Genomic DNA, 16,139 nt, shown 5'->3' with positions numbered 1-16,139 from the left:
ATTGTCCTTTCCTGCCAGCCCTATTCTTAGGAGACGGCCCTCCTAAACTGAGAGGGAGATTGCTGTGCGTCCTGCCAGACTACTCTGCTAGGACTGAGCGCGGGGGAGCAGAAATGGCCTAGGCCAGGACAAGTGACTGCTACTTCTTTACCAATTACAGCTTTATCCTTGTTCTAACCTGCCCTCCCTGAGATAATATCTATTCACATCCCCAATTACAGAATTGACCCGATTCCCTAACAACATCTAATCCAGAGCAAATCTTCATTTTATTTGACCTTCCCTCCAAATCACCCGACTGTCATGAGTGGTGTAAGGTTAGAAATAACCAAGTCTATGTATTTTTGTGTGTTTTTACAATGTTAGGATTTTATCGATGTTATTTTAATCACAAAAGTTACAGATTATATGGAGTTCTTAAGGAGGCCATTTTTTTAAAGTACTTTTTGTTTCTTTGGTAGTCAGAGCCCCAGAGACACGGGCTCAAGTCACTTTATAAGTCAGTCAATATTGTAAACCATACATTATTATAGTATATTAAATTAATATATAAATATTATAGGTTAAGTATTTTACGATAAACAAAGTAACATTTAACATTAAAAAAAGAGAGAGAGAGAGAGCTAGGAGAAAGGGTTAATGAACTAGTTTAGTAGGAGTGAAGATGATAAAAGGAGTCCGGGTCTGGGGTGGGTGGTTTGCTGGTCATGTAAGGAAAACTGGGAGGTGGTAGAGCCTTTGGTGGCAGATGCCAGGTTTTTATCATGAGTGACTGCAAGAAAGTGTCACTTAGGATGGCTGTTTTGAGTTGTTGAAGGGCTAATCTGTTTCATATTCATAGAGTATTTGGTGAGAACTGATAGTGGAAGAGTGTGTTTGTGTTTTTATCTGGTTGTATGCAGCCTTTAAAAAAAATTAATTTATTAAACAGAACGTGTTATTCTTATTGGCAAAGTGCCCTATGAAATGTAAAATGGCGTCTTTTTTAATAAGATGGAGTTAGTTATGTCTTTTTGTTGTTTTATTTTGAGCTGGAGTCTCACTCTGTTGGAGTGCAATGGCGTGATCTCTGCTCACTGCAACATCTGGCTTCTGGGTTCAAGTGATTCTCCCGCCTCAGCCTCCTGAGTAGCTGGGATTACAGGCATGCATCACCACACCCAGCTAGTTGTTTTTTTTAGTAGAGATGGGGTTTCTCCATATTGGCCAGGCTGGTCTCGAACTTCTGACTTCCAGGGATCCTCCTGCCTTGGCCTCCCAAAGTGCTGGGATTACAGGCATGAGCCACCACGCCCGGCTGGAGTTAGTTACATGAAGGGTGCTCTATACGCTTACCAAAGTCCAACTTCTATTACTCGTTCTTTCTAACAACCTCTCACTGAGACAACTCATAGCTCATGTCTCCCCATGATGTGTGCTCTCCCCTCACTGCAATGAGTAATAGACCCAATTTGTTCAACGCTAGGTGTGCTCCTGGTGCCTTTAGGCTGGAAGCCATTGACACGCTTTAGTTCAAGCCATCAATAACTTTTGCTTAGTCTATTGCAATAGTCTGTAATGTTCACTGTTTCTTATACATTACTGAGAATCACTTTGTAATAGAGACAATGACTATTATTATTATTATTATTTTTTGAGACAGACTCTTGCTTTGTCGCTCAGGTTGGAGTGCGGTGGCGTGATCTCAGCTCACTGCAACTTCTGCCTCCTGGGTTCAAGTGATTCTCCTGTCTTGGCCTCCTGAGTAGCTGGAACTACAGGCATGTACCACAATGCCCCGGTAATTTTTTGTATTTTTCATAGAGATGGGGGTTAGCTATGTTGGCCAGGCTGGTCTCGAACTCCTGATCTCAAGTGATCCACCCACCTTGGCCTCTCAAAGTGCTGGGATTACGGGCATGAGCCACCGTGCCCAGCCAACAATAATTATTTTTAAGATTTCATGAGAAATAGAGTTTGTTAATTATTTATTTATTCTTCCAAATATTTGCTGATTACTCTACTATGTGCATAGCATTGTGACATCATGAAGATATATAAAGAAAACTTTTAATTCAAAAAAGTCTCTGCCTTCAATAAGCTTTGGCAATCCATGTACATGGATAAAATATTATATGAAGTTTTAAAATGAAAGTTGGCAGCTGGGCACAGTGGCTCACACCTGTAATCCCAGCGCTTTGGGAGGCCGAGGTGGGTGCATCACCTGAGGTCAGGAGTTCGAGACCAGCCTGGCCAATATGGTGAAACCCTGTCTCTACTAAAAATACAAAAATTAGCTGGGGTTGGTGGCGGGCGCCTGTAATCCCAGCTACTTGGGAGGCTGAGGCAGGAGAATCGTTTGAACCCAGGAGGCGGAGGTTGTAGTGAGCCAAGATCGTGCCACTGCACTCCAGCCTGGACAACAAGAGCGAAACTCCATCTCAAAACAAAAAACAAAACCAAAAAAAAACAAAAAAACACTTTTCATCACAGAAAGCATTATTCATAGTATTTTGGAATTTTAAGCCTTTATTTCAAACTTTTTTTTTTCTTTTTTGAGATGGAGGCTTGCTCTGTTGCTCAGGCTGGAGTGCAGTGGCATGATCTTGGCTCACTGCAACCTCTGCCTCCCCGCTGGTCAAGCAACTCTCTTGCCTCCTGAGTAGCTGGGATTACAGGCATGCACCACCATGCCTGGCTAATTTTTGTATTTTTGGTAGACACCGGGTTTTGCCATGTTGGCCAGGCTGGTCTCGAACTCCTGACCTCAAGTGATCCGCCTGCCTTGGCCTCCCAAAGTGCTGGGATTACAGGTGTGAGCCACCATGCCTGGTCCTATTTCCAACTGAAAAATTGTGTTATATGACTTACAAATCTAATTTTTTGCATTAGATGACAACCACTTTCACTTGTTCTTTAATATTGGAGCAACCCAAGATAGAGATTATATTTTTAAAAACAGAATTATTATTTTTTTTGAGACTGAATCTTGCTTTGTTGTGGGGGATAGGTCAGAGTGGTGGAAGAAGCTATAGGGAAAGAAGCAGACCTTTTGAAATGTCAGAAGGCTCTGCAAAGCTTCTGGGGAGAATAAGCTGGAGGCACCTGTTTTCTTACCCTGAGGCAGAGGGCAAGAAATAGGTACAAGGAAGTATAGCGGAATTTATCTAAATAGGCTTGTTTACCCATGTTGTCCAGAAACTATCTTTGGCCAACCCCGAGTGACTGCTCCAGGTAAGGGGGAACAATAATGTTAATTACCTGCAGATTGTGTTTGCTCCAGACTTTCGCATTATGTCTGTACTAAATAAATGCAAGCAGCTCCAGCTGCTCGAGACTGCTTACTCTGCCAGCAGTCCCCTAGCGGCTCTGACACTGCATACCTGTGTCTGAGTATTCCTTTCATCCATCGCTCGGCCAGGGTCTGTGGGACAGATCCGGCATTCTATCACCAAGGCTAGAATGCAATGGTATGATCATAGCTCACTGTGCAGTCCCAAACTCCTAGGGTCAAGCAATCCTCCTACCTCAGTCTTTCAAGTAGCTGGGACTACAAGCATATATCACCATGCCCGACTACTTTTTTAAAAAATATTATTTGTAGAGGCCGGGCGTAGTGGCTCATGCCTGTAATCCCAGCACTTTGGGAGGCCGAGGCAGGAGGATGGCTTGAGCTCAGGAGTTCAAGACCAGCCTGGGCAACATGGTAAAACCCCATCTCTACTAAAAATACAAAAAATTAGCCAGGTGTGGTGGCGCGCATCTGTATTGCCAGCTACTGGGGAGCCTGAGATGGGAGGAGCGCTTGAGCCCAGGAGGCAGAGGTTGCAGTGAGCCGAGGTCGTACCACTGTACTCCAGCCCCAGTGACAGAGCGAGCCCCTGTCTCAAAATAAGTAAATAAGTAAATAAATAATTTGTAGAGGGCCGGGCACTGTGATGCTTGCCTATAATCCCAGCACTTTGGGAGGCCGAGGCGGGAGGATCACTTGAGCCCAGAAGTTTGAGGCCAGCCTGGGCAACACAGTGACACCTCGTCTCTATATAGAAAAAAAAATTAATTAATTAAAAAATAATAAAATAAATAAAATATTATTTGTAGAGATGGACACTTGCTATGTTGACCAAACTGGTCTCAAACTCCTGGCCTCAAAGGATCCTCTTGCCTCAGCCTCCCAGAACACTGGGATTACGGGCCTGAGCTGCCACAACTGGCTAAAAAATCCTATTGGCAAATTTGATTACACTGTTTCCTTCCTTCCTTCCTTCCTTCCTTCCTTCCTTCCTTCCTTCCTTCCCTCCCTCCCTCCTTTCTCCCTTCCCCTCCCTTCCCTTCCCTCCCTTCCCTTCCCTTCCCTTCCCCTCCCCTCCCCTCCCCTCCCCTCCCCTCCCCTCCCCTCCCCTCCCCCATCCTCTCCTCTCCTCTCCTTTCCTTTCCTGGAGTCTTGCTATGTTGCCCAGGCTGGACTCAAACCACTAGGCTCAAGTGATCCTCCTGCCACAGCCTCCCCTGTAGCAGGAACTACAGGCACGCACAACAGCACCCAGCTTACACTAATTTTAATGTTTTAAATTACATCGTGCATATTAACATAAACTCTTTTAACCAGCTTAAATGCTTTACATGGCAGATTTGCAAGTAAATCTAATAAATTAAACCTACAAAACGGCAAAACAAGTTTTCTTAAATATCCTAAATATCGCAATGATGTTAACAGCTCTAATCAAATTTTCTCAGCTCTTTCGTCATTTTTGTTCATTTTATTTTATTTTTTGAGACGGAGATTTGCTCTCGTCGCCCAGGATGGAGTGCAATGGCACAATCTAGGTTCACTGCAACCTCCGCCTCCTGGGTTCAAGCAATTCTCCTGCCTCAGCCTCCCTAGTAGCTGGGATTACCGGCACCCGCCAGCATGCCCGGCTAATTTTTGTATTTTTAGTAGAGAGAGGGTTTCACCATGTTGGCCAGGCTGGTCTCGAACTCCTGACCTTAGGTGATCCTCCCACTTCAGCCTCCCAAAGTGCTGGGATTACAGGCGTGAGCCACCAAGCCTGGCCCATTTTAAGGACTTCTTTTTAAAGACTAGTCAAGTGCAGCAGTGGGAAGGTAGGGAAAGAATAGAACAAGGAGTTTCATCTGCAACTGTGAACAGTCAATTGAGGTAACTTGCTACCTTTGGATCAGCCAAACTTTTCATCTTAAAATGCCAACATCTAAAAGATCAGAGTCAGCCAGATGCAGTGACTCATGCCTGTAATATCAGCCCTTTGGGAGGCTGAGGCGGGAGGATCACTTGAGGTCTGGAGTTTAAGAACAGCCTGGCCAACATGGTGAAACTCTGTCTCTACTAAAAATACAAAAATTAGCCAGGTTTGGTGATGGGTGCCTATAATCCCAGCTACTCAGGAGGCTGAGGCATGAGAATTGCTTGAACCCAAGAGGCGGAGGTTGCTGTGAGCCAAGATCTCACCACAGACCTCCAGGCTGGGCAACAGAGTGAGACTCCGTCTTTGAAAAAAAAAAAAAAAAAAAAAAGCAGCCGGGTGTGCTGACTTGTGCTTGTAGTCCTAGCTACTCAGGCTGATGGAGGAGGATTACCTTAGCCTGAGAAATTGAGGCTGCAATGAGCTGTGATGGCGCCACTGTACTCAGCCTGGGTGACACAGTGACACCCTGTCTCAAAAAAAAAACAAAAACAAAAAACTGGACAAATAATTTGCATAGCTTGATCTCATTTATGTTTTAACGTGTGTGTGTGTGTGTGTGTGTGTAGATAGATAACACACACAGACACATATAGCCTTCTTTTCAAACATATCCATACATATATACATATGCTTAGCAAAAGGGCTAAAGAGAAACTCCAACCTACTAGCTGTGGTTATCTCCAGGAAGACAGAGTAGATGAGAGAAAGAAGCATTGGCTATCTTTAATAATTAAAATTGAAGAAAAGAAATACTATTTTAAACTTAGGAAGCAATATAAAATTTCATTATTCTATATTCTCCAGCATTTTCTTATTACCCTATAGGATATTTCACAGCTTTAAGGAGTTAAGAAAATTTCAGTAAAATTGAAATCTAGCAGAGGAGAGGGCATGGTTCTCTGAGTGTCTAAAAACTGTCCTTCCACATGTAATAGCCTGGGACAGTGATCATAAAGCTACGTCTGTGGGACCCCTGTGCTGTAACATTCCACAGCAATGGGATCAACCTGGATAGGATGGCCTCGAGCGCTCAAGTCCGTGGTCCAACAATGACTTACAAAACATTTTGTGAGGGTTGAGCAATCTGTAGGAAAGAGTTTAACAGTCAGGGTTAAACCGGAGAAAGAGGACTGTAGGTGGAGCTATATTGGCCTGGGTGGTTATGGGGGATGGCAGGGGAAGTCCCAGATCTGCAGGGGAGGCTGTCAAGAAGGGCAGGCTAGAACTCTAGTACGTGAACAATGCTATATTCCGTAGGTGGAATTTCTTCTTCAGGGAAGCCTCGCTTCTGTTCTTAACTTCTTTCAGCTAATTCAATCAGGCACACCCAATGATCTAGAATCATCTTCCACACCTAAAATCAATGGATTATGAACTTTAGACGTATCTACAAAATACCTCAGAGCAACACCTACATTTGGGTTGCATTGAATAACTGAGATGGCTGTAGTGATTGGCTACTTTTTCTGTCTGTTTTTCAGGGACCACACGGCCTCTGTCTCTCTGAATATCTCCTTTTCTCTCTCAGGGTTTCCTCTGCTCATCTCCCTTGTCAGCTGAATTCCTGGCTTACTCAGTTTATGTTCTATAAGATTTTAACTTGCATGCAACCCATCATACCTGCCCCTTTCTTCACTTTCTATTTTATATTCTTAATCCTATACCTACTGGGCATTTTTTTTCCTCAAATTCCCCAAAGAGTGTCAATATTATTGTCCCTACTCATCTTTTCACCATGAAGAATGTTGATAGTAAGGTGGTAGTGAGAATTAGAATGACAGCTATAAAACAGTTTATGAAGAATCAACTTGAAGAAGTGAATGACTAGATATGAAAGTTGCAAAAGGAAAGCGAATTAAAAGTAAACCACCATTTTCTACACTGACTGGAGCTTTGCTCCTTGTTAACAGTCATACTCAAACAACAAATTGCATCTGAGCCTGGGTCTTACCCAGTGGCTGTAATTCCTTGCCTAACTGGCTGTCTCTCCTGTCCCTGGTCCCATAAGCCAGTATGACTCACAAACATGTACCTAATAGCATTTAAACTCAAAGCCCAAATACTAGCTTATGTTTCTCGCCATCACCCCAGGACACTTTTGGCTTATTTCTGTCCTACCTATGCTCTGATGAGCTCTGCTAGGTCTGTATTCTAAACTCTAGTCTCATGGAAATACCTCAATTCTAGTCTCTGTTGTTCTAGACTTTTGTTTTTGAGACAGGGCCTGGCTCTGTCACCCAGGCTGGAGTGTCATGGCATGATCTCAGCTTACTGCAATCTCCATCTCCCGGGCTCAAGGCTTCCCACCTAAGCCTCCCAAGTAGCTGAGACTACAGGTACGAGCCACCATGCCAAGCTAATTTTTGCATTTTTTTTGTAGAGACAGGATTTCACCATGTTGCCCAGGCTGGTCTTGAACTCCTGAACTCAAACAATCCGCCAACCTTGGCCTGCCAAAGTGCCGGGATTACAGGCACAAGCCACCACGCCCAGCTCTTGTTCTAGACTTTGAATTTCCGTGTTTATTCCTGAAACGTGCATGTTGGTTTTCCTCTACTCAGGCTTAGCTCAGCCCTACAGTTTCTGATAAAGTTGTTGTTTTGGGTAGGAACAGAACTCTACAGCACAAAGGCTACAGAATTTAATCTCACTTTCTGGTGACTGTGACTGGCTAGGTTGGCCATATCTTCCTCAAGCAAGGGAGATCATTTGTTTCTGTATCACATATCTTTTGAGCGCCTGCTGTTTGTCAAACCCCATTGTAGGTGCTACGAAGTTAGTGAAACACAGCCTTTCCCTTTAAAAATGCTCCTAGAGGAAGGAGAGACCAACACTACCCAATTTCAAACACAAAATTTGACACCAGCATGCACAGAAAGCACATGGAGGATATCATCTTAAATCAGCTTAAAGGTTCAAAGGTGGCTTACTGGAGCTTATAGCACACTACGGCCTTAAACTCCTGGGCTCAAGCAATCCTCCTGACTTAATCTCCCAAGTAGCTGGGACTACAACCCCATGCCCCCATGCCTGGCTAATCTAAAATAATTTTTTGAAAGGGGAAGTATGAGTTTGGTGCAAAAGTAATTGCAGTTTTGGCAAAACAGCAATTACTTTTGCACCAACTTAATAACTAAAGTTGAGGATGGTTGTGTGTTCCTCTAGTCCCAGCTACTCAAGAGGCTCAGGCAGGAGGATCACTTGAGTTTGAGGCTGTAGTGTGCTATAATCGTGCCTGTGAATAGCCACTACACTCCAGCCTGGCAACATAGGGAGACCATGTCTCTAACAAAAAAGTAGGAGTAACTTCATCAAACTTGCAATTTATTTATTTATTGTTTACGTGGAGATGCTAATGTGACAGAACAAACCTGTTATTTAGAAATATTCTGGCAGCAGTGTGGAGGATGAATTAGAAAGGGTGGACTGGAGACTAAAAGATTTCCTAAATGCTATTGCAGTTAGGTCTGGATAAAAGGGATAAAGCCTTCACGATAAAAGGAGCTAGTGAATACGGTGGGTGGGGGGTAGCATCTACCTTTGGTTGATGAGTTGGCACAGGTGAGGAGGGGGTTAATCCCAGGCACCAAGAGAGAAAATAGAGGAGAAAAGAAAACAGGGTGATAAAAACAATGAGTTTACTTTGGGACATGCTGACAGGTAAATAATTGTATACGGAGGTATGAGTTGGAAATAATAAATCTGGTGATTATCAGCCGCATATTAATTCAATGAATCCATCCATGCACATGAGGTCCCCAACATGGAAAGTCTGTAGAAATGAAAATGATAGAGGAAGGAGAAGCACAGATATGTGAATTATGGGAGAGGAAAGAATGAGTCTTGGAAGAGATACCCAAAGAGAAAAGGGAAACAAAGGGAGTGGTTTATACAGAGACAAAAAATTAGCAAGTTTTCAGAAAGAGGGAGTGCTTACAGAGAGATAAGATAAAAAGTGCTGATTGAATTTAACAGTATAGAAGTAAATAAGGCATTTAGTAGAGTGGTAAACATATTGGATTGAAGACTGAATGAGCAGTAAAAAATTGGGGATGATGAACAACAATCAGATATTGTTCTTTTGTGAAATTTGTGAGTGAGAGAGAATGATAGGATTTGTATTGTTTATTTTGTCCATTATCATCTTAGAAGATTGTCTGAAACATCATAGGCTCTTGATATATGTTGTTCTGATGGACTGATTGAGCATCTTAGACTGAGCTACCAATCAAGCCCATCAACAAATTCTGAATTCTCTCAACATTGCTTGGGACCAGGCCATCCCTTCTTTTGCCCAATCCGCACATGGTAAATAGCTACTTGCTCCATGGAGGGCAGGACAGTTTTACCCAGCCCATAGTGGGTCAGGTGAGTTGGTGCCTGGTATCAGAGCAGGCCAGGGGATTACACAGCCCATTTGTCAACAGCAAATTAGCAAATTAGTCTGGTCTTACCAAGTTGACAGATGCTAAGATACTCATCAAAAGTTGGGGGTTACGTAAGCCATCATTCCTAAACAATGTGAAGGTAGATTCAGGACATCAGGCAATTTGATAGACTAGGTTATGGCCGGGAGTCTGAGATACACTAGGGTCTATGAGTTTTTCAAGGGTCTACATACTATTTGAAACCTAAAATCAAACAAATGCCTCCAAAATACCCATCTCCCCAGTGCCAAATTCCTGCAAAATCAAAGTAAATAAATGTTAGATTAAACGTCAACAAAACACAAGATGCTAATTAGCCAATTGTAATTCAACTCGTATATTAGTTCTTTGTTTTTAATTTTTTTTTTTTTTTTTTTTAGAGATGAGGTCTCAGTATGTTGCCCAGGTTGGTCTCAAACTCCTGGCCTTAAGTGATCCTTCTGCCTCAGTCTCCCAAGGTGCTAGAATTACAGGTATGAGCCACAGGGCCTGGCCATATATATAAATTTATTTTGCAGGCTGGGCGTCGTGTCTCATGCCTGTGATCCCTGCACTTTGGGAGGCCGAGGTGGCTGGAACACTTGACCTCAGGAGTTCAAGACCAGCCTGGCCAACATAGTGAAACCCTGTCTCTACTAAAAATATAAAAAGTAGCTGGGAGTGATGGCAGAAGCCTGTATTCCCAGCTACTCAGGAGGCTGAAGTAGGAGAATCTCTCGAACAGAGGTGGAGGTTGCAGTGAGCTAAGATCGTGCCACCGCACTCCAGCCTGGGCGATAGAGTGAGATTCCGTCTCAAAAAAATAAAAATAAAGAATAATGTTGCACATGAATATGGGCAATTGATATGATGCACAGGAGGGCCTGTGTAGTGTGTGTGTGTATACACATATAAAATTTTATGTATATCAGCCAGGTGAGGTGGCTCACGCCTGTAATCCAAGCACTTTGGGAGGCTGAGGTAGGGAGATCTCCTGAGGTCAGAAGTTCGAGACCAGCCTGGCCAACATGGCGAAACCCCATCTCTACTAAAAATACAAAAATTTGCCAGGTGTGGTAGCAGGCACCTGTAATCCCAGCTACTCGGGAGGCTGAGGCAGAGAATTGCTTGAACCCAGGAGATGGAGGTTGCAGTAAGCCAGGATTGTGCCACTGCACTCCAGCCTGGGCAACAGAGCGACACTCTGTCTCAAAAACAAAAAAAAAATTATGATGTTTTAACATGTTAAAAAATCTCTCTGGCTAAGTGGAGACTGTCTCTCCTAGGGCCAGCCAATTCTTAGAGATAGCAGTCTCAGCCAGGAGCACATCTTTAATATGCAGACTAATCAGTCGAGAGCCAAACCTCCTCTATCTGGTTCATAAACCCCAAGAGGCACTATTTCTCTATAGTAATCATCCCAGCACTAGACACCAGGCACCATGTATCTAGTATATTCTAGGTGTACTCTAGACTATAGGCGTGGTTCCTAGTTGCCTGGTATCTAGTGCTGGGATATCTAGAGACTAGATATCTAGAGTACACTAGATACCAGGCAACTAGGAACCACGCCTATAGTTTAGAGTATTCAAATTAGCCAATCCTAAACTTACCCCACTCTGTCTTACCTCTTCCCTTTCCCAAAACTGCAAGAAACGCTCTGTCCTAAACCTTCGCTTGCTCCTGTCTTCAGCATCCTGACCACCCTGCTGTTTTCCATGTGGCCCTGCATGCCATGCCATGCCTCTGTGTCTCTAGGATCTAGTATAATAAACTTTTCTCAAGCCTCTCCTCTGACTTCTCTTGTGAACTCACCAGACTAATCATCCCAGAAAAGAATACAAAACACTCCCAAAAGAAGGACCATCGAAGGCCTATAGGTCTTGAAATGGTTTTGCCATCACCTTGATCCATCGCTAGTGATTTTATCTTAAATTCACCTCTTTCCCAAGGACATGAGCATGTCTAGTTAGTGAAAGATACCTTCACCCATCACCTGGGCTATACGCTACACTGGGTATTCCCTTTAACCCCTGATTATAGTCCTTGTTTTATTAGATACATGTAGCAGTCTTTTTCTTTTCTTTCTTTCTTTTTCTTTTCTTTTTTTTTTTTAAGCAGCATAGTGTTGCTCCATTGCCCAGGCTGGAGTGCAGTGGTGTGATCATACCTCACTGCAGCCTCGAATTCCTGGGCTCAAGCAATCCTCCTGCCTCAGCCTCCTGAGCAGTTGGGACTCAAGGGGGGAGCCACTGTGCTTGGCTAATTTTTTTGTTGGTTTATAGAGATGAGGATGTAATTATGTTGCCCAGACTGGTCTCAAACTCCTAGTCTTGAGCAATCCTCCTGCCTCAGCCTCCTAAGTAGTAGGGACTACAGGTATGAACCACCATGCCCATCCCTATAGCAGATTCTTAATCATTCTAAGGTTTAACATTTTCTGGGGTTTTGTTGTTTGTTTGTTTTATTTGAAATAGGGTCTCCCTCTGTTGCCCATGCTGGAGTGCAGTAGTACAATTATAGCTCACTGCAACCTTGATCTCCTAGGCTCAGGTGATTCAACCAGCTCAGCCTCCCGAGTAAGTGGGATTAGAGATGCATGCCACCACACCCAGCTCATTTTTTGTGATTTTTGCACAGACAGGGTTTCACCATGTTGCCCAGACAGATCTCAGACTCCTGGGCTCAAGTGTAGGGGCCAGCCCCACAGGGTCGGTGGGTCTCTCCCTGTGTACGGCAATGAGAGAGTGTAGAAATAAAGACACAAGACAAAGAGACAAGAGAAAAGGCAGCTGGGCCCGGGGGACCACTACCACCAATGCGCGGAGACCGGTAGTGGCCCCGAATGTCTGGCTGCGCTGTTATTTATTGGATACAAGGCAGAAGGGGCAGGGTAAAGAATGTGAGTCATCTCCAATGATAGGTAAGGTCACGTGGGTCACGTGTCCACTGGACAGGGGGCCCTTCCCTGCCTGGCAGCCGAGGCAGAGAGGGAGAGGAGACAGACAGAAAGACAGCTTACACCATTATTTCTGCATATCAGGGACTATTAGTATTTTCACTAATTTACTACTGCTATCTAGAAGGCAGAGCCAGGTGTACAGGATGGAACATGAAGGCAGACCAGAACATGAAGCACAGCATCACAGGGAGACGGTTAGGCCTCTGGATAACTGCGGGCGAGCCTGACTAATTTTAGGCCCTCCACAAGAGGTGGAGGAGCAGAGTCTTCTCTAAACTCCCCCGGGAAAGGGAGACCCCCCCTCCACTTTCCCGGTCTGCTAAGTAGCGGGTGTTGTTCCTTGACACCTTTTGCTACCGCTGGACCACGATCCGCCTGGTAATGGGCATCTTCCCAGACGCTGGCGTCACCGCTAGACCAAGGAGCCCTCTGGTGGCCCTGCCCGGGCATAATAGAAGGCTCGCACTCTTGTCTTCTGGTCACACCTCACTATGTCCCCTCAGCTCCTATCTCTGTATGGCCTGATTTTTCCTAGGCTATGATTATAGAGCAAGGATTATTATAATATTGGAATAAAAAGTAATTGCTACAAACTAAGGATTAATGATATTCATATATAATCATATCTAAGATCTATATCTGGTATAACTGTTCTTGTTTTATATTTTACTATACTGGAACAGCTCGTGTCCTCTGTCTCTTGCCTCGGTGCCTGGGTGGCTTGCCGCCCACACTCAAGCAATCCTCCCGCCTCAGCCTCTTCAAGTGCTGGGATTACAGGCGTGAGCCACCACGCTTGGCCACATTTTCTGGTTTTGTTATTTCCCTAGAGGACTGCTTGAACTTTATTTTAAGACTGGTGTAAAGGAAAACATTACTTAGCTAGTGAGTGAGCCCAGCTGACCGTCCAGAATCTATATTTCAGCATGGCTCTGTTGTTATTTATTTTTTCATCATGGAGGAAGTAACTTCTGTTTCCTTATTTAAAAAACTGCCTTGAAATGATATATTGTGTAAACATTCACTGAAGTTGGCAAAAATGATTACTCTGTGGGATGAGGATATTAATAGGAAGCATATGATTCCATCAAAATGTAACTTTGGATATGACTAAGAAATTGTACATTTACATACTCAGGGATTTGGATATTCAGTAAGGTGTAATGTTCCTTATTACTTTAAGACTCTAGCTTATTTTATGCCTACTGTTTACCTGGTATATTAGGCTGAACTTACATTGCTATAAAGAAATACTTGCCAAACATGGTGGCTCACACCTGTAATCCCAGCATTTTGGGAGGCCAAGGCAGGCACACTGCTTGAGCCAAGGAGTTCAAGACCAGCCTGGGCAATGTAGTGAGACCATGTCTTAATAAAAAAAACCAAGAAGTTAGCCAGGTGTGGTGATGCATACCTGTAGTCCCAGCTACTTGGGAGGCTAAGGTGGGAGGATCACCTGAGCCCAGGAGGTCAAGGTCAAGGTTGCAATGAGCCATGATGGCACCACTGCACTCCAGCCTGGGTGACAGAGTGAGATCCTGTCTCAAAAAAAAAAAAAAAAAAAAAAAAAGAAAGAAAGAAAAGAAAGAAATACCTGAGCCTACGTAATTTAAAAAGAAAAGAGGTTTAATTGGCTTACGGTTCTGCAGGCTGTACAGGAAGCATGACACAGGCATCTGCTTCTGGGGAGTCCTCAGGAAGGTTACAATCATGGTGAAAAGTGAAGAGGGAGCAGGTGTCTCACATGGTGGGAGCAGGAGCAAGAGAAAGAGAGTGAGGTGCCACAGTTTTAAACAGCCAGGTCTCATGAGAAGTCACTCCCTATTGTGAGGACGACACCAAGGGGATAGTGTTAAACCATCACGTGAAATCCACCCACATGATCCAATCACCTCCCACCAGACCCCACCTCCAACAGTGGGAATTACACAATTCAACACGAGATTTGGGTGGAGGGCTTATATCCAAACTATATCACCCAGTTGTATAATCTCTCATATGGCTCTTTATTATTATTATTATTATTTGAAACGGAGTCTTGCTCTGTTGCACAGGCTAAAGTGCATTGGCACAATCTCTGCTCACTGAAACCTCCACCTCCTGGGTTCAAGTGATTCTTGTGCCTCAGCCTTCCTAGTAGGTAGGATTACAGGTGCCTGCCACCATGCCTGGCTAATTTTTGTATTTTTAGTAGAGATGGGGTTTCACCATGTTGGCCAGGCTGGTCTTGAACTCCTGACCTCAAGTGATCTGCCCACCTCGGCCTCCCAAAGTGCTGGGATTACAGGCATGAGCCACTGCGCCTGGCATAGCTCTTACTATTATTATTTTTTTTTAGAGACAGGGTTTTGCTATGTTGCCCAGGCTGGTCTTGAACTCTTGTCCTCAAGCAATCCTTTCGCCTTGGCCTCCCAAAGTGCTGGGTTTACAGGCATGAACCACTGTGCCCAGACCCAAGCTTTCATTTTATATCATCATTACAAAAATCACTGTTCAAATCCTCTACTTAATGGCCAATCAGAACCTGGGAGAAAATATATGTAATTAATCTATCAGAGAATATGATTGGTCCACCAATCTTGCCTTCAGAAATCCCGTAGAGTAATTCATTTGTCTACCACGAGTATGTCATGGTGTAGAAGCTCTGGCTTTATCCTAAGCAACTGGCTCATACTTCTGTCACAAGCACAGCAAGAGCTGCAAACTATCCACTACATTTTTTTTTTTTTTTTTTTGAGACGGAGTTTCACTCTTGTTCCCCAGGCTGGAGGGCAGTGGCGCAATCTCGGCTCACTGCAACCTCCGCCTCCCGGGTTCAAGTAATTCTCCTGCCTCAGCCTCCGGAGTAGCTGTGATTACAAGCGCTTGCCACCACGCTGGGCTAATTTTTGTATTTTTAGTAGAGACGGGGTTTCACCATGTTGGTCAGGCTGGTCTCGAACTCCTGACCTCAGGTGATCCACCCGCCTTGGCATCCCAAAGTGCTGAGATTACAGGTGTGAGCCACCACGCCCGGCCATCCACCAAATCTTATAAGATACTCAGTATACTTAATAAATTGTAGCATAAAGTGAAAGCATCAAGCACCAAGAGACAATCCAAGCCAAATATGTTGACTGATTTGCTTTTTTATTTTTGAGACAGAGTCTTACTCTGTTGCCCAGGCTGGAGTGCAATGGTGCTATCTCGGTTCACTGCAACCTCCGTCTCCAGGGTTCAAGCGATTCTCGTGCCTCAGCCTCCCAAGTAGCTGAGACTACAAGCGACTGCCACCAGGTCCAACTAATTTTTGTATTTTTAGTAGAGATGGGGTTGCATCATGTTGGCCAGGCTGGTCTCAAACTCCTGGCCTCAAGTTATCTGCCTGCCTTGGCCTCCCAAAGTGCTGGGATTACAGGCTTGAGCCACCGTGCCCGGCCGGTTTGCTTCTTATTATGTCTTTCCTACCTATTTCAGCCCAAATGAAGCTGTCCTTACAGAGTTAAGAGGAATTCTGGACAGAAATATAATTATAATTAATCATTAATCAGGCTGCTCTTCGGCCCCCTTCCTTGTAATCGATAGTCAGTAGCATTAGACGCTGAC

At 44.2% G+C, this 16,139-nt stretch overlaps 1 non-coding gene across 1 annotated transcript; it reads right to left on the bottom strand.

The window, feature by feature from the left end:
- LOC124900334 (small Cajal body-specific RNA 11) lies at positions 1-132 on the bottom strand. Its single transcript, XR_007063636.1, has one exon.
- Between the last annotated feature and the right edge of the window lie 16,007 nt (positions 133-16,139).

The sequence above is a fragment of the Homo sapiens genome, chromosome 12 (assembly GCF_000001405.40).
Source record: "Homo sapiens chromosome 12, GRCh38.p14 Primary Assembly".
NCBI classification, from domain to species: domain Eukaryota; kingdom Metazoa; phylum Chordata; class Mammalia; order Primates; family Hominidae; genus Homo; species Homo sapiens.
Note: the sequence above shows the minus strand (reverse complement) of the source record. Positions and strands in the feature narration are given on the sequence as shown.